The following is a 19,605-nucleotide window of genomic DNA, read 5'->3' on the forward strand; positions in this document are numbered from 1 at the left end:
AAAGATTTTTCTTTAATCCCTCATATATCGCGGTACAAAAATTGACAAACAGAGAAAAGAATGGAAGAATGAGGGAAGGGAACACAAACATCTTGGATTCACAGTCTATGCAAATGCTAATCAAATCACCTTTGAAAACCATTCAATTTCCACACACACACACACACACACACACACACACACACTTAGGCTGGCTGTGGTGGCTCATGCCTGTAATCCCAGCACTTTGGGAGGCCAAGGTGGATGGATCATCTGAGGTCAGGAGTTCAAGACCAGCCTGGGCAACATGGCAAAACCCCGTCTCTACTAAAAATACAAAAATTAGCTGGGTGTGGTGGTGTGCACCTGTAATCCCAGCTACCAGGAGGCTGAGGCAGGAGAACTGCTTGAACCCGGGAGGCAGAGGCTGCAGTGAGACAGAGCAAGACTCTCTCTGAAAACAAAAACAAAAGAAAATTTAAAAAATTAAACACACACACTCAGACCCACATATCCTTTTCAAGTCAACCAAACCACAGCCAGTCTTTAATTTCTTTATAGCACCATTGAGACTCTTAAATTTCTTTGAAATAAACTATAAAAATCAGACTCTTCTACACATTCTTTTTTATGGTTATTGATTTTGGCAAGATAGGAGGATTAAAAGAGGGAATAGTCTATACAGCTATGTGAAGTCTACCAATCTAGATATCCATCAATTATGAAATAACTAAGAATCATTTTAGTTCAAACTACCACCACATAATCATGTTCATTCAACAACTACATCCCAGGCTCTAGACTAGGGTTCATGGCTCCCAGCGAGGACATCATACTATTCCAGACTAGACTAAACTGAGTCCCTTAGGTCCCTAAGACTCTTTTTTCTATCATCTGTATAACCCCAATACATTTAACAATTTTACATAAATTATAAATCGACCATGTAAGATAATATCCTACTGCCAATGTGAGGGCTAAAAATTTGATCTTGCAATTTGTTTAGTCTAACTCTCTTCCAGAGTTTCTTAACACCTTCACTACTGAAATTTTGGACAAGAAAATTGTTATGAGAGGTTGTCCTCTAAACTGGAAGATGTTTAATAGCATGCCAATAGCACCTTCCCAGTTGTGACCCATGAGAATGTTTCCAGACACTGTCAAATGTCCCCTAAAGGGCAAAATCACAACTCTACCCCTACGCCAACTGAGAGCCATACACCATAAAAATCTAGGAGTTGTGAGTGCAGGGAAATGGAAGGATTAGGTGGAAGAGTAGCTAAGGAGAACAGGGTGGGTTTTTTTGTTTTTGTTTTTTGAGACAGAGTCTCGCTCTGTCGCCCAGGCTGGAGTGCGGTGGCGCGATCTTGGCTCACTGCAACCTCCACGTCCTGGTTCAAGCTATTCTCGTGCCTCAGCCTCCCGAGTAGCTGGGATTATAGGCGTGCACTATCACACCCAGCTAACTTTTTGTATTCTTAGGAAAGACAGGGTTTCGCTATATCGGTCGGGCTGGTCTTGAACTCCTGGCCTCAAGTGATCTACCCGCCTCAGCATCCCAAAGTGCTGGGATTACTGGTGTGAGCCACCGCGTCCTGCCTGAGTAATGAAAATGTTCTAAAACTGATTGTGGTAATGGATGCACAACTGTGAAAATACTGAAAACCACTGAACTGTACATTTTAAGTGGCTGAACTGTATGTTTTATAAATTGTATCTCAATAGAGCTATTCTTTTTAAAATTCAGATTCTGGACTCCACTCCAGATCTCATAAATTAGAATCAAAAGCAGAAAGCCAAAACTATTCTAAAATACCTTCCAGGATCACTAGGAGGACATTTGGGGTTCACAGCCAGACAGTGATGAACATCTCAAACCACAAGATGCACAGAACGGCTAAGAGGAAAATGAGCTTGCTGTGCACTACCCAATGGTTAACTGCTTGGAAAAATATGGAAACTGATAACGTGTTAAATATGTTCAATAACACATCTCAAATTTATGTCTAAGAACACATTTCAATTTCAACTCCATGTTAAGTTGAAAGGATAGCTTCCCAAATTATGACATATGTACCTTCACCTTTAAAGAAACAGAAACTAAAACAACTCCAAATATTATATGCTTTTACATCTACATTCATTCATTAAGTGGTTTTATAATTACTGGTTTTGAGTTATACTGCAGCTACTCACATCATAAGAAAAAGACAACATAAAGTACAAGAATAAACTTGAGTATAATTTTTAATTAGACCTGATGCATCAATCTGAATAGCTAATACCAAAAATCCTAAGCTATGAAATCTAAATTTCCCAATAAATCTGAACATCTGCAAGTATACCACATAGCAATTAGAAAAAACTGTACTATGGAAAAGATTTAAGTCGTTCTGGTTTCTGTTTTGCAAGTTCCAGCAGAAAACTAATGCTAGGGTTCATTGAAACAACACTGCTAGTATCTCCTATTTCCTCCAAGAACAAACAAGAAAGCCATTATTATCTCAAATGTTCTTCTGAAAAGTATAATGACCCTTCTTATAATATTATGGAAAATATGAACAAGAATTTTAATCAAAATAGCATTCGTAAAGCCACATGAACACTTTTATTTTTTTTATTTTTAAACTTTAAAATCTAAATACCTACCCAAATACCCAGTGTTTCTAAAACTAATGACTAAATCTGATTTACTTCTAACTCTCTCTAGTATATAAGTGATGTCTGAACTATGAGATTCATGTGAAAATGTACGTCGTTTATTTGTACATGATCTGTCTCTCAGGCACTCGACCTAGGGGAGTAACACATATTGATGATCTCCAGAATGTGCACATTACAACCTGATTGATACCAAATTGGTGCTATATTCATGCATTTATTAACAAGGAATGATGCTTATATCGAGCAAAAAGTTCATGAGTAGTATATATAGTTCTTATTTTCACAAGAAAAATATGTATATATATTCACAGGAAATGTCTAGAAGAATATATATGAAAATGTTATTCTCTTTTATAATTTTTGTGTTTCTAAATTATCTACATTAAATAAAACTTTTGCAAAAAGAAAAAATAAATGTCATTTTAAAAACATACCCAGCCAGGCATGGTGGCTCACACCTGTGATCCCAAAACTTTGGAAGGCCGAGGCAGGCAGATCATGAGGTTAAGAGACCAAGACCATCCTGGCCAACATGGTGAAACCCCATCTCTACTAAAAATACAAAAATTAGGTGTGGTGGCACGCACCTGTAGTCTCAGCAAGTCAGGAGGCTGAGGAAGGAGAATCACTTGAACCCAGGAGGCGGAGATCGCAGTGAGCCGAGATCGCGCCATTGCACTCCAGCCTGGCGAGAGAGCAAGACTCTACCTCAAAAAACAAAAAAAACAAAAAACAAAAACAAAAAATCAGCTGGAGCAGGCCAGGCACGGTGGCTCACGCCTGTAATCCCACTTTGGGAGGCCAAGGTGGGTGGATCATGAGGTCAGAAGTTCAAGACCAGCCTGGCCAACATAGTGAAACCCCGTCTCTACCAAAAATACAATAAAGTAGCTAGGATTACAGGTGTGGTGGCGGGCGCCTGTAATCCTAGCTACTCAGGAGGCTGAGGCAGGAGAATCACTTGAACTCGAGAGGCAGAGGTTGCAGTGAGCCGAGATCATGCCACTGCACGCCAACCTGGGCGACAGTGTAAGACTCCATCTCAAAAAAAAAAAAAAAAAAAAAAAAAAAAATTAGCTGGCCATGGTGGCGGGCTCCTGTAATCCCAGCTACTCAGGAGGCTGAGACACGAGAATCACTTGAAACCTGAAAGCAGAGGTTGCAGTGAGCCAAGATCATACCACTGCACTCCAGCCTGGGCGACAAAGCAAGACTCTGTCTCCAAAAAAAAAAAAGAAAAGAAAAGCCCCAACAAAAGTCAGTCTTCTTTAGCTAAAAGACCAAGAAAGTAGCAGTCTAGCAAGACAGAAAAGTTTTAGACAATAACCAATCTACCCCAGCCAAACACCAAGAAAATACTGTGGTTTAAAACCTACCCGTTCTAGCAAAGGCCAAGTGGGGAGCCTAGATTTCCAACCTCTCAAAGCTGTAATTAAGCACTCAATACCCCTTCCAAGGTGGAGACAGAAAGCCAAGTAGGGTATCCAGGAATTTCATCCCTGCAGACCAGTAACAAGATCAGCGGGGACCACGTGGGGAACCTGGGCCTCCACCATATTATATCAATACAAATGGCAGTTTCTTTAAAAAGTCTCCCTCTCCCTCTCCCTCTCCGTCTCCGTCTCCGTCTCCGTCTCCGTCTCCGTCTCCGTCTCCCCATGGTCTCCCTCTCATGCGGAGCCGAAGCTGGACTGTACTGCTGCCATCTCGGCTCACTGCAACCTCCCTGCCTGATTCTCCTGCCTCAGTCTGCCGAATGCCTGCGATTGCAGGCCCGCGCCGCCACGCCTGATTGGTTTTGGTGGAGACGGGGTTTCGCTGTGTTGGCCGGGCCGGTCTCCAGCCCCTAACCGCGAGTGATCCGCCAACCTCGGCCTCCCGAGGTGCCGGGATTGCAGACGGAGTCTCGTTCACTCAGTGCTCAATGGTGCCCAGGCTGGAGTGCAGTGGCGTGATCTCGGCTCACTACAACCTACACCTCCCAGCCGCCTGCCTTGGCCTCCCAAAGTGCCGAGATTGCAGCCTCTGCCCGGCCGCCACCCCGTCTGGGAAGTGAGGAGTGTCTCTGCCTGGCCGCCCATCGTCTGGGATGTGAGGAGCCCCTCTGCCTGGCTGCCCAGTCTGGAAAGTGAGGAGCGTCTCCGCCCGGCCGCCATCCCATCTAGGAAGTGAGGAGCGCCTCTTCCCAGCCGCCATCACATCTAGGAAGTGAGGAGCGTCTCTGCCCGGCCGCCCATAGTCTGAGACGTGGGGAGCGCCTCTGCCCCGCCGCCCCATCTGGGATGTGAGGAGCGCCTCTGCCCGGCCGAGACCCCGTCTGGGAGGTGAGGAGCGTCTCTGCCCGGCCGCCCCGTCTGAGAAGTGAGGAGACCCTCTGCCTGGCAACCACCCCGTCTGAGAAGTGAGGAGCCCCTCCGCCCGGCAGCTGCCCCGTCTGAGAAGTGAGGAGCCTCTCCGCCCAGCAGCCACCCCATCTGGGAAGTGAGGAGCGTCTCCGCCCGGCAGCCACCCCGTCCGGGAGGGAGGTGGGGGGGGGTCAGCCCCCCGCCCGGCCAGCCGCCCCATCCGGGAGGGAGGTGGGGGGTCAGCCCCCCCGCCCCGCCAGCCATGCCGTCCGGGAGGGAGGTGGGGGGGTCAGCCCCCCGCCTGGCCAGCCGTGCCGTCCGGGAGGGAGGTGGGGGGGTCAGCCCCCCGCCCGGCCAGCCGCCCCGTCCGGGAGGTGAGGGGCGCCTCTGCCCGGCCGCCCCTACTGGGAAGTGAGGAGCCCCTCAGCCCGGCCAGCCACCCCGTCCGGGAGGGAGATGGGGGGGTCAGCCCCCCCACCCGGCCAGCCGCCCCGTCCGGGAGGGAGGTGGGGGGGTCAGCCCCCCGCCTGGCCAGCCGCCCCGTCCGGGAGGGAGGTGGGGGGGGTCAGCCCTCCCCCCGGCCAGCCGCCCCGTCTGGGAGGTGAGGGGCGCCTCTGCCCGGCCGCCCCTACTGGGAAGTGAGGAGCCCCTCAGCCCCGCCAGCCGCCCCATCCGGGAGGGAGGTGGGGGGGTCAGCCCCCCGCCCGGCCAGCCGCCCTGTCTGGGAGGGAGGTGGGGGGGTCAGCCCTCCGCCCGGCCAGCCGCCCCGTCTGGGAGGTGAGGGGCGCCTCTGCCCGGCCGCCCCTACTGGGAAGTGAGGAGCCCCTCTGCCCGGCCAGCCGCCCCGTCCGGGAGGGAGGTGGGGGGGTCAGCCCCCCGCCCGGCCAGCCGACCCGTCCGGGAGGGAGGTGGGGGGGGGGTCAGCCCCCCTGCCCGGCCAGCCACCCCGTCCGGGAGGTGAGGGGCGCCTCTGCCCGGCCAGCCGCCCCGTCCGGGAGGGAGGTGGGGGGTTCAGCCCCCCGCCCGGCCAGCCGCCCCGTCCGGGAGGGAGGTGGGGGGGGTCAGCCCCCCTGCCCGGCCAGCCGCCCCGTCCGGGAGGTGAGGGGCGCCTCTGCCCGGCCGCCCCTACTGGGAAGTGAGGAGCCCCTCTGCCCGGCCACCACCCCGTCTGGGAGGTGTGCCCACTAGCTCATTGAGAACGGGCCAGGATGACAATGGCGGCTTTGTGGAATAGAAAGGCGGGAAAGGTGGGGAAAAGATTGAGAGATCGGATGGTTGCCGTGTCTGTGTGGAAGGAAGTAGACATGGGAGACTTTTCATTTTGTTCTGCACTAAGAAAAATTCCTCTGCCTTGGGATCCTGTTGATCTGTGACCTTACCCCCAACCCTGTGCTCTCTGAAACATGTGCTGTGTCCACTCAGAGTTAAATGGATTAAGGGCGGTGCAAGATGTGCTTTGTTAAACAGATGCTTGAAGGCAGCATGCTCGTTAAGAGTCATCACCAATCCCTAATCTCAAGTAACCAGGGACACAAACACTGCGGAAGGCCGCAGGGTCCTCTGCCTAGGAAAACCAGAGACCTTTGTTCACTTGTTTATCTGCTGACCTTCCCTCCACTATTGTCCCATGACCCTGCCAAATCCCCCTCTGTGAGAAACACCCAAGAATTATCAATAAAAAAATAAATAAATAAATAAATAAAAAAGAAAAAAAAGAAAAAAAAAAAAAAGTAAGCATGCGACTACCATATGGCCTAGCAACTGTACTCCTAGGCAAACTGCCGAACTATTTTTCAGAGTGGCTGTACCACTTTACTGTTAACTGTTTCAATGTCAATACCCTGGTTGTGATATTGTACCATGATTCTGCAAGAAATTTCCACCAGGGGAAACTGGGTAAAGTGTACAAGGGATATCTCTGTATTATTGTTTCTTACAATTGAATGTAAATCTATAATTATCTCAAAATTATTTTAAAAAACTGTGTTTAAAAACTAAATTAAAAAACACAAATATACTAAATATTTAGACTTAAGGCTGAACTATGAGTTACATATCCTTATATCCCAAGCACCTACACCAAAGCCTAGAACATATTAGACAATAAATATTTATTGAATTAGATTGAACATACAATCAGCACTTCAAAAATATAAGATGCTTACAAACCTAACAGTTCCATTTCGTTGGCTGTAAATAAAGTAACAATACCTTAAAACAAGTGCAAAAAAGTTACCTTCAAGAAAATATAAAGTATTCTGGAATTTTTTCAAAGAGAAAAATGACTCAGTCCTAGACTACAATGACTTAGATATTACCTCATTATTTTGGCTAATTTATTGTACGGAGAGAGGGAGGGAGGCCAGTAGGCCGGCTGGCCAGCCTGCGAGGCTTAAAAAGTACCATGTACATAATTTAAAAATTAGCATATAGTAGGGAGTCTTTAGAAACCAAGTAGCACACATAAATACTACACATACCCACCCACTTGCAAAGGTGTTTTAAGCCAAAAATCTTACTCTACGTGTCCAAGTTTCATCGGTATTTCTGATTTTCACTAGGTCTGGCTGAACAGGATTATGTCTTATCTTTTAGAGTAACTATCAGAACTGGTGATTATCTCCATCATCTATGAACACAGTCCTTTTCATCTGATAAAACTGGCATTCGGTAACAAGAAAGCATCTTATTTTACCAGAATGACCCAAGTAATTCATTAATTAAAGAAAAAAATGTATACAGGAATCTTTATTGTTGCTTTGGTTTGTTGGTTTTCTAAAACCAATAAAACAATTGTCTTTTCCTGCATAAACACCTGATTTGAAAATCTAGATACAATATTATTTTATTTTATTTTATTTATTTTTGAGATGAGGTCTTGCTCTGTCGCCCAGGCTGGAGTGCAATGGCACTATCTCGGCTCACTGCAACCTCCACCTCCTGGGTTCAAGTGATTCTCCCTGCCTCAGCCTCCGAGTAGCTGAGATTACAGGCGTGCACCACCACGCCCGGCTAATTTTTGTATTTTTAGTAGAGATGGGTTTCATCATGTGGGCCAGGCTGCTCTTGAACTCCTGACCTCAGGTGATCTGCCCTCCTTGGCCTCCCAAAGTGCTGAGATTACAGGTGTGAGCCACCGTGCCCGGCATTACAACATTATTTTAAACAGCCTTCATCATTAAGTAATGAAAGTGAAAGTAGAGTCAGCAGTCAGTAAAAACACTTTGTGATTGAATAATTCAAGTACAGAATTAACAGCCAAAACTACATGAACTGAACAGATAATGATAAAAACCCAATCAGGGCCAGGCACAGTGGCTCACACCTTAATCCCAACACTTTGGGAGGCCAAGGTGGGGAGATTGCCTGAGCTCAGTGGTTCGAGACCACCCTGGGCAACATGGTGAAACCCCGTTTCTACTAAAATACAAAAAATTAGCCAGGCATGGTGGCGTGCGCCTGTAGTCCCAGCTACCTGGGAGGCTGAGGCATGAGAATCACTTGAGCCTGGGAGGTGGAGGTTACAGTGAGCCGAGATCGTGCCACTGCACTCCAGCTTGGGCAACAGAGCAAGACTCCATCTCAAAAAAAAAAAAAAAAAAAAAAAAAAGACCTACTCAGGATAGCAACATTACAATAATGGCAAGCCATACTTATTTTGATCCTTTATGGTCCATATGAACACATGAAATCTTAATTATTTGAGAATTCAACAACTTTTGGGCTGGGTGCAGTGGCTCACACCTGTAATCCTAGCATTTTGGGAGGCTGAAGCGGGTGGCTCACGCCTGTAATCCTAGCACTTTGGGATGCTGAGGCAGGCGGATTGCCTGAGCTCGGGAGTTCGAGACCACCCTGGGGGCAACATGGTGAAACCCCATCTCTACTAAAATACAAAAAATTAGCCGGCTTGGTGGTACACACCTGTAATCCCAGCAACTCAGGAGGCTGAGGCAGGAGAATTGCTTGAACCTGGAGGATGCAGTGGGCTGAGATTGTGCCACTGCACTCTGGCCTGGGCCACAGAGTGAGACTCTGTCTCAAAAAAAAAAAAAAACTTTTGAACATCTCTCTCTTAAACCTCTGGCCTTTAAAATCCCAATCATATCACATTTAATATACATGGGTTATTAAATGGGTTCAGGAATTGTTAGTCTGCAGTAGAACTCTGCAACAAACAATAAACAGTTTCATCACCAAAAGGTACCTGGATGTAATCTCAATTAGTAAAAACTCAGTCACTCATATGTCACTGACATATTTCCTTTGGACAAGGCAACTCATTCTGTTGATCTTTCTCAGCCACTATGAAGTTTATCACTCATGCCTGTAAATGGTACATGGTCATGAACTGCTACAGAATAAAGTCCAAGAGAACCCACCAAAACTGTGGAAGATTAAAAGATTGATGGATCATTAAAAAAAAATGGATTATAGACCTAAATGTAAGATACGAAACTATAAAACTCCTAGAGGATAACATAGAAGAAAATCTAGGTGACCTAGGGTTTGGCAATGACTTCTTAGATACAACCCCAAAAACATGATGTAGGAAAGAAAAAACTGATAAGCTGGACTTTACTGAAGTTAAAAATTCTGATCTGCAAAATACACTGCTAAGAGAATAGAAACTCAACAGATTGGGAGAAAATATTTGCAAAACACATCTCTGACAAAGAACTGGTATCCAAAATATACAGAGGCCAGGCGCAGTGGCTCACGCCTATAATCCCAGCACTTTGGGAGGCCGAGGGAGATGGATCACAGGAGCCCAGGAGTTCAAGACCAGCCTGGGCAACGTGTCGAAACCCTGTCTCTACAAAAAAAAAAATAATAATAATACAAAAAAAATGTAGCCAGTCTTACAACCCAATCTCAAAATAAATAAAAAATTAAAAACGAAACAAAATATACAAATAACTTTTTTTATTTTTGAGACGGAGTCTCACTGTCGCCCAGGCTGGAGGACAGTGGTGCGATCTCGGCTCACTGCAAGCTCCGTCTCCCAAGTACACGCCATTCTCCTGCCTCAGCCTCCCAAGTAGCTGGGACTACAGGTACCCGCCACCACGCCCGGCTAATTTTTTTGTATTTTTAGTAGAGATGGGGTTTTACCACATTAGCCAGGATGGTTTCAATCTCCTGACCTCGTAATCCACCCACCTCGGCCTTCCAAAGTGCTGGGATTACAGGCGTGAGCCACCGCGCCTGGACCCAAAGAGCTCTTAAAATTTAATATGAAAATGAACACCTCCCCCTCCCCCTCCCCCTCTCCCTCTCCCTCTCTTTCCACGGTCTCCCTCTGATGCCGAGCCGAAGCTGGACTGTACTGCTGCCATCTCTGCTCACTGCAACCTCCCTGCCTGATTCTCCTCCCTCAGCCTGCCGAGTGCCTGCGATTGCAGGCACGCGCCGCCACGCCTGACCGGTTTTCGTATTTTTTTGGTGGAGACGGGGTTTCGCCTGTTGGCCGGGCTGGTCTCCAGCTCCTAACTGCGAGTGATCTGCCAGCCTAGGCCTCCTGAGGTGCCGGGATTGCAGATGGAGTCTCGTTCACTCAGTGCTCAATGTTGCCCAGGCTGGAGTGCAGTGGCGTGATCTCAGCTAGCTACAACCTCCACCTCCCAGCCGCCTGCCTTGGCCTCCCAAAGTGCCAAGATTGCAGCCTCTGCCCGGCCGCCACCCCGTCTGGGAAGTGAGGAGCGTCTCTGCCTGGCCGCCCATCGTCTGGGATGTGAGGAGCCCCTCTGCCCGGCAGCCGCCCCGTCTGGGAAGTGAGGAGCGTCTCCACCCGGCAGCCGCCCAGTCCGGGAGGTGGGGGGCAGCCCCCGCCCGGCCAGCCGCCCCGTCCGGGAGGGAGGTGGGGGGCAGCCCCCACCCGGCCAGCCGCCCCATCCGGGAGGGAGGTGGGGGGCAGCCCCCGCCCGGCCAGCCACCCCGTCCGGGAGGTGGGGGGCGCCTCCGCCCGGCCGCCACCCCGTCCGGGAGGTGGGGGGCACCTCTGCCCAGCCGCCCCTTCTGGGAAGTGAGGAGCCCCTCTGCCTGACCGCCACCCCGTCTGGGAGGTGTACCCAACAGCTCACTGGGAACGGGCCATGATGAGGATGGCGGTTTTGTCGAGTAGAAAGGGGGGAAATGTGGGGAGAAGATGGAGAAATCAGATTGTTGCTGTGTCTGTGTGGAGAGAAGTGGGCATAGGAGACTCCATTTTGTTCTGTACTAAGAAAAATTCTTCTGCCTTGGGATGCTGTTGATCTATGACCTTACCCCCAACCCGGTGCTCTCTGAAACATGTGCTGTGTCCACTCAGGGTTAAATGGATTAAGGGCGGAGCAAGATGTGCTTTGTTAAACAGATGCTTGAAGGCAGCATGCTCCTTAAGAGTCATCACCACTCCCTAATCTCAAGTACCCAGGGACACAAACACTGCGGAAGGCCGCAGGGTCCTCTGCCTAGGAAAACCAGAGACCTTTGTTCACTTGTTTATCTGCTGACCTTCCCTCCACTATTGTCCTATGACCCTGCCAAATCCCCTTCTGCGAGAAACACCCAAGAATGATCAATAAAAAAAAAAAAAAAAAAAAAAACATCACTATGTACCCCATGACTATGTACAATTGTTATCTGTCAATTAAAAATAAAATAATGTTTAAAAAATAAAAAAATTTAAAAAATTAAAAATAAATTAAAAAAAAGAAAATGAACAATGTGGCTGGGCGTGGTGGTTCACGCCTGTAATCCCAGCACTTTGGGAGGCTGAGGCGGGCAGATCACCTGAGGTTGGGAGTTCGAGACCAGCCTGACCAACATGAAGAAACCCCATCTCTACTAAAAATACAAAAAATTAGCCAGGCGTGGTGGCACATGCCTGTAATCCCAGCTACTCGGGAGGCTGAGGAAGGAGAATCACTTGAACCTGGGAGGCGGGAGGTTGTTGTGAGCCAAGATCGTGCCATTGCACTCCAGCCTAGGCAACAAGAGTGAAACTCTGTCTCAAAAAAAAAAAAAAGAAAGAAAATGAACAACCCCATTTTAAAAATAGGCAAAAGATCTGAACAGACACTTCACCAACGATATACGAATGGCAAATAAGCATATGAACGAAAAGATGTTCAATAACATATGTCATCAGAGAATTGCCAATTAAGACAACAATAATTCTGACAACCGTGGTTAAAAGAAATTATTAATAAGAAAAAAAGACTTCAAATTCATTAAAAAAAAAAAAGACAACAATGAGATGCCACCGTGTCCGTATCAGAATGGCCAAAATCCAAAGCACAACACCAAGTGCTGACAAGGATGTCAAACAATAGGAAATCTCATTCATTGCTAGTGGAAATGCAAAATGGTACAGCCAGCAAGGTGAGCTGGAATCACCTATAGTCCCAGCTACTCAGGACGCTAAGCCAAGAGGATTGCTTGAGCCCAGGAGATGAGTCTAGCCTGAACAACATAGCGAGACCTGTGTCTTAAAAAAAAAAAAAAAAAGTTATACCCAGTTTGGGAGGTTCTTACAATACTAAACATACTCTCTCACCACACAATCCAGCAATTGCACTCCTTGATATTTACCCAAAGATGAAAACTCATGTCAACACAAAAACCTACATGTGGACATTTATAGTAGCTTTATTCACAATTGCCAAAACTTGGAACCAACTAGGATGCCTTTAATAGGTGAATGGATAAGCAAATTGTAGTGTACCCAGACAATGGAATACTATTCAGCAATAAAAAGAAATGAGCCATCAAGCCACAAAAAGACATTGAGAAACCTCAAATGCATATTGCTAGGTGAAAAAAAAGCCAATCTGAAAGGCTATATACTGTATAATTCTAACTATACGACATTGTGAAAAAGGCAAAACTATGAAGACAGAAAGATATTAGTGGTTACAGTAGTTAAGGGGAAGAAGTAGGGATAAATAGGTGGAGTACAGGGGATTTTTAGGGCAGTGAAACTATTCCATATACATATTATTATGAAACCATCTTTGCAAAAATTATAACTGAGACAATTATTACAGTGAAAGAGATCTGATCTAACCAACTCCATCCTGCTTCTAACCTCCCAGCTGTCCTTGTTCATTCCTAGACTTAGCCCAAACTAACTTTGTTTGGGAGGAACTTAGTTTACAGTTTAGGTTAGTTTTCCCAGAACAAACCCCCTTCCTGGCTGGGGACTAGACTGCCTTTGCAGGACTAACAAATTCTAACAAGATTAGAAATCATGGTTTAGGAGTCATGCAGCTAGAGGCTGCAAGATTCTAAACCTCCCTAAATTACTCCTGGGGATAACATCATTATTGTAAAACCCAAGATCGTGTTTGAGATATTTTGCAGACCCTATATTCAATGGATTAGCTGGCACCACCCAGACTGATATAAACTGGCCTATCTTGTCTTGTGGCCCCCACCCAGGAACTGACTCAGCACAAGAGGACAGCTTCAACTACCTATGATTTCATCTCCAACCCAATCAATCAGAACTCCTGACTCACTGGTCCCCTACCCACAAAATTATCCTTTAAAACTCCAATTCACAAATTCTCGGACAGACTGATTTAAGTAATAATAAAACTCTGGTCTCCCACACAGTCAGTTCTGCTTGAATTACTCTTTCTCTACTGTAATTCCCATCTTGATAAATAGGTTCTGTTGAGCCAGCGGGCAAGGTGACCCCGTTGGGTGGTTACAATTAGACAGTCATGCATCACTTAACAATGGGAATACATTCTAAGAAATGTGTTAGGTGACTTCATCATTGTGCAACTGTCATAGAGTGTACTAAACAAACCTAGATGGTACAGCCTGCTACACATCTAGGCTATATGGTATAATCTGTTGCTCCTAGGCTACAAACCTGTACAGCATGTAACTACTGAATACTGCAGGCAGTTGTAACACAATGGTAAGCATCTGTGTATCTAAACATATCTAAAAACAGAAAAACTAAGGTGTTATGCCAAGCATTACATCACTAGGCAATGAAAAATTTTCAGCTCCACTATATAGAAAGTACCCATCTCTACAAAAAAAGAAAAAAAATTGCCAGCCTTGGTAGTGTGCACGTGTAGTCCCATCTACTGTGGAGGCTGAGGCAGGAGGACTGCTTGAACCCAGAAGTTCCAGGCTGCAGTGAGTTATGATCGTGCCACTGCACTCCAACTTGGGTAACAAAGCAAGACACTGTCTCTTAAAAAAAAGAAAAGTCTATTAATTTTAAAAAAGAACCTCTGCACAATGGAATGATCTTCATTCTTTATATACTACTGTACCACCTCATAACCATGACTAACATTACTAATACCACTCACATCTCAAACATAGCAATCTAACTCCTTACAACTTAAAGTGTCATCTGTAGACCAACAGGATTAGCATCACCTTATAGATCAGAAATGCAAAATCTTGGGTCCCACACTAAACCTTCAGAATCAGAATCTGCCTTATAAAAAGATCATGTGATTTGTATGCACACTAAAATCTATGAAGGCCTAATCCAAAGCTTTCAATTCAAAGGCCACACAAGGCAAGGGGGACAGAAATCAAGGCCCTGGGCCCTCCCAAAGTTAAGCCTTATAAGACACCCCACCATATACCTCTCCAATCTAAACCAAGCCCCAAATTTTTCACTATCCCTAGCGGACTATATAGAAGCCTGCCTTGGTGTTGAGCAAATCAAAAGAATAAAAAATTCCTGAGAAATCATAGCCACGAGGAATCCCTGTATGCACTGGCATCTTAGTTTCTTATAATCTGGATAAGCCAATGACTGTCAAGTCATGCAGTTTGAGGAAATAAAAAACTAGTGATGCCACAGAGTACCTGACAGATATTAACACCAAGGCTAACTTCTCAAGCAACAATGTAAGCCAGAAGATAATGGAATGATAAGTTCAAGGCTGGACAGGGTGGCTCACACCTGTAATTCCAGCACTTTGGAAGGCTGAGGTGGGAGGATTGCTTGAGTCCAGGAGTTTGAGACAAGCATGGGCAACATAGTAAGACCCCATCTCTACAAAAACAACAAAAAAAGAAACGATAAATTCAATAAACTGAAAGAAAATAAAATGCAATACTAATAAACATACAAACAAACATACAATACTATGCCCCCCAAAAAAGTAGTTTTCAAGGATGAAAGAAAATATATACCTATATAGTATATCCGTAGAAGTTTTCTGGGGACAGGGTCTTTGCTGTTGGTTAGATTCTCAAGGGGATATATACTCATGAAATTAAGAACCATTTATTTACAAAAACATTAAAGGTCATTCAACTTAACTTCCTCCCCAGTATCTCTAAATACCCTGGCTCTGTTTTAACATAAGTTAAACTCAGTATCTTACTTTAACATGAGGAAACTCACTATCTTATAAGAAAGTTACATTCCATTTTTCTCTTTAACTTCTACTTGATGGTCCTTGTTCTTTTGTCAAAGCAACAAAATACTAAATCTAATGCCTATTCCACTTGCCAGATCTTTGATATATAGTTAGCCCTCCAAAGCCACAGGTTCCACATCCTTGGATTCAGCCATCACATATATATATTTTTTATTTTATTTTATTTTTTGAGACACAGTTTCACTCTGCCTCCCAGGCTGGAGTGCAGAGGCGCAATCTCCGCTCACTGCAACCTCTGCTACCCGGGTTCAAGTGATTCTCGTGCCTGAACCTCCTAAGTAGCTGGGATTACAGGCGTGCGCCAAGTATATCGCAGGACATGCAGAGGTACATCATTTTATATATGGGACCTTATCATCCTCAGATTTTCTTATCTGCAGGAGGTCTGAGAACCAATCTCCCATGAATACCGAGGGACAACTGTATTTGAAAATAGCTGTCCCCACCTCTTTATTCTCTAAATGAAACATCTCTAATTCCTTTTTTTTTTTTTTTTTTTTTTTTTTTTTTTTTTTTGAGACGGAGTCTCGCTCTGTCGCCCAGGCTGGAGAGCAGTGGTACGATCTCGGCTCACTGCAAGCTCCGCCTCCCAGGTTCACACCATTCTCCTGCCTCAGCCTCCTGAGCAGCTGGGACCACAAGCGCCCATCACCACGCCCGGCTAATTTTTTGTATTTTCAGTAGAGATGGGGTTTCACCATGCTAGCCAGGATGGTCTCGATCTTCTGACCTGGTAATCCGCCCACCTTAGCCTCCCAAAGTGCTGAGATCACAAGCGTGAGCCACCGCGCCCAGCCTCTAATTCCTTAAATAATGTCTCAAATCATTTTAATTACTCCATCACCAGACAGACTGTTTTCTCCTGGAAAGACTCTATCCATGCTCCGAAAATGTGCCTCTTAAAACTGAACACTCTCATTTTACAGTAGAGGGGAAAAAAAAACCTCAACACAATACTAAAGGTCTGGAATATTATGTTCCCCTGTATTTTCATTTATATTTTTAAATTTTTTTTGGCGTGATTGCGCCAAGCTGGATTGCAGTGGTGCAATCATGGCTTACTGCAGCCTCTATCTGCTGGGCTCATGTAATTCTACCACCTGAGCCTCCCAGAGTAGCTAGGACTACAGGCACAAGCCACAGTGCACAGCTAATTTTTACATGTTTTGTAGAGACAGGGGTTTCACTTTCTTAGGTTTAAAAATATAGAGGCGGTCTGGGCATTTATGCTTCTGACTACCTGAATAATACCACCTCCCCGTTACTGTCTCAAAGTTAACAAGAGAAACCTTTTTTTTTTTTTTTTTTAAATCCCCAGACAGAGTCTCACTCTGCCACCCAGGCTGGAGTGCGGTGGCACAATCTCGGCTCACTGCAACCTCTGCTTCCTGGGTTCAAGCGATTCTCCTGCCTTAGCCTCCCGAGTAGCTGGGATTATAGGCATGCACCACCATGGCCGGCTGATTTCTGTATTTTTAGTAGAGATGGGGTTTTGCCCTGTTGGCAAGGCTGGTTTTGAACTCCTGGCCTCAAGCAATCCACCTGCCTTGGCCTCCCAAAGTGCTGGGATTACAGGCGTGAGCCACTGCAACTGGCCCAGAGAAGCATTTTTTTAAAAACTATTTTAAATAATATTTAAGGACCAGGTGTGATGGCTCATACCTGTAATCCCAGCACTTTGGGAGGCTGAGGTAGGCAGATCACTTGAGCTCAGGAGTTCAAGACTAGCCTGGACAACATGGTGAAACCCCATCTATACAAAAAATACAAAAATTAGCCAGGCATGGTGCCACACACCTGTAATCCCAGCTACTCAGGAGGCTGAGGTGGGAAGATCATTTGAGCCCAGGAGGCAGAGGCTGCAATGAGCCAAGATCGTGCCACTGCACTCCAACCTGGGTAACAGAGCAAGATTCTGTCTCAAAAAAAAAAAAAAAAAAAGGAATATTTAAGTAATAAACATCCAGCTCTACTAATTAAAAACTAATGAAAATTAACTGAATCCTTGGCTGTGAGTCAATTCAACAAAGCACCATGATCTCCTTAAGGCATTTATTTTATTTATTTATATTTTAGAGGTAGGATCTCACTATGTTGTCCAGGTTGTACTTGAACTCCAAGGCTCAAGTGATTCTCCCGCCTCTGCTTCTCAAGAAGCTGGGACTGGCCAGGTGTGGTGGCTCACGCCTGTAATCCCAGCCCTTAGGGAGGCCAAGGCGGGCGGATCACGAGGAGTTCCAGACCAGCCCGGCCAACACGGTGAAATCCCATCTCTACTAAAAATACAAAAAATTAGCCAGGTGTGGTGGCAGGCGCCTGTAATCCCAGCTACTCGGAAGGCAGAGGCAGGAGAATCGCTTGAACCCAGGAAGTGGAGGTTGCAGTGAGCCAAGATCGCACCACTGCACTCCAGCCTGGGCAACAGAGCGTCCGTCTCAAAGAAGCTGGGACTATGGGTACAGTTCACCATGCCAGGCTCCTAAGACATTCATTTAAATCCACTTAGTCATTCATACCTATGCACAATATGTATAGCATTTACAGTGTGTATCATGACACTTTTAATAATAAAGTCAGTGTTTTAAAGTCAGTGTGTATTGTTTCTTCTATTTTACTTTTTAAAAAATCACCTACAGCACTTACCACAGTGTATGCACCTAGAAGGTATATAAATATCCGTGGTATTAAATTGAACACAGTAGAAAGAATGCTAGAGATTAAAGTTCAAATTCTGACTCAGCTACAACTTAGTAAATGACCTTAGGAGAAGGCAGAATTATTCTGGGACTCAAAGTGGTTCCAGTAAGTCCATGAGTTTCATATTTCACAGCCAATTTGCCATCTATATAACCCAATGAAACTTACAGGGAATGTAATTTCCATTGAAAACATCAATGCTTCACCAATTCCATATACACAAAAATTATTTTCTGATTTGTATCACTAGACAGTGTCTTACTAGCATTCTGAAGGTCACCCATCCCAGTCACGAAGCCCTTAATTCTCACAACCTTGATTTTATAAATAAGGAAACAGATAGACTGATCTGCCCCAGACCTCACAGTTATTATGTGGTACAGATGAAACCTGAACCTTGGTCTTTTGACACTCAGTCCAGTGCTATTACTGCCATACTATAGTTGCCTGTCACTGATAATTGCAAAGTTTGTTAATTTGGGCAAGTCTACCTTAGACTTTTAGACAACACACTGTTGAAAGGCACCCCACCTCTGGCTGATGAAATAGGCTGACTGGTTTGCCTCTGAAGCATCTCAGCAAGTCTCAGCTATACTGAGCACACAAAGTTATTCAGAATATCTTTCAAACATTTTTTTGTCCCTATTATTGTTATCTTATTTTAGCTTGATAAAGAACAACTGTCTGGGTAGCCACTGACACTCTTAAAATATACTCAGCCCAAGAGAACTTGCTAAAATGGAACATACTAAATTGGTTGAGTACTAAAGCAACTGGCTATATCAGAGAACCTCATTATCGGTGACCCAAACTTACCTTTAATTATCAGATATATGACCATGCAATACTGATGTTATTGTTTTAAGAAAATCAGATGTGATTAAAAGTGTGAGATTATCCCTTTTTTTAACCTATTAAACTAGCAATATTAGTGAAAAAAAATTTTTTTTCTGAGACAGGGTCTCACTCCATTACCCAGGCTAGAATGTAGTGGCACGATCATAGCTCACTGTAACCTCAAACTCCTGGGCTCAAGTAAGCCTCCTGCCTTAGCCTGCTGAGTAGCTGGGACTACAGACACCACCATGGCTAGATAATTTTTTTTAACTTTTTTTTTTTCAGAGATGGGGTCTTGCTATGTTGGCCAGGATAGTCTCTTTTTTCTTTTTTTTTCTCCCTCCTCAGGTGCTACTTAACCAGGCTTGTTTTGAACTCCTGGCCTCAAGTGATCCTCCCACCTCAGCCTCCCAAAGTGCTGGGATTACAAGTGTGAGCCACCATGCCCAACCACGGTTTCTTTTTATCCTTCTTCTTCTTCACAGAGACCTCTTCTTCTACCACTACTACTTTTCCTTCTTCTCCATCTTCTTCAATTTTAATTTTACTCTTGGCCTTTTTTGCTTTCTTTGTGGTAATTTCATCTTCTTTATCTGTTCTGAGTTTTTTTTAATTTTTTACTTTTTGTACAAATGGGGTCTCACTATGCTGCTTAGGCTGGTCTTGAACTC

General features: G+C 45.2%; 1 protein-coding gene across 151 annotated transcripts in view, besides 1 other annotated feature; it reads right to left on the reverse strand.

Moving 5' to 3' along the window:
- The window catches only part of MAP4 (microtubule associated protein 4), a 238,154-nt gene that overhangs the window by 200,248 nt on the left and 18,301 nt on the right, over window positions 1-19,605 (reverse strand). The window contains exons 2-3 of one of the 151 annotated variants that reach the window (NM_001384729.1): window positions 3,231-3,347; window positions 346-433 (exon numbers count right to left, since the gene is read on the reverse strand). The exons of the other annotated variants lie outside the window; for them this stretch is intronic. The gene's annotated coding sequence lies outside the window, so the exon portion shown is untranslated. The remainder of the gene's footprint in view (window positions 1-345; window positions 434-3,230; window positions 3,348-19,605) is intronic. 151 annotated transcript variants of the gene reach the window in all.
- Window positions 15,263-15,463: a silencer, noted in NCBI's record as "peak4637 fragment used in MPRA reporter construct". NCBI's record gives its function as "represses an SCP1 promoter by STARR-seq MPRAs in K562 erythroleukemia cells {active_cell/tissue: K562}" and the evidence as "EXISTENCE:reporter gene assay evidence [ECO:0000049][PMID:32103011]".

The sequence above is a fragment of the Homo sapiens genome, chromosome 3, assembly GCF_000001405.40.
Source record: "Homo sapiens chromosome 3, GRCh38.p14 Primary Assembly".
Lineage (NCBI taxonomy): Eukaryota > Metazoa > Chordata > Mammalia > Primates > Hominidae > Homo > Homo sapiens.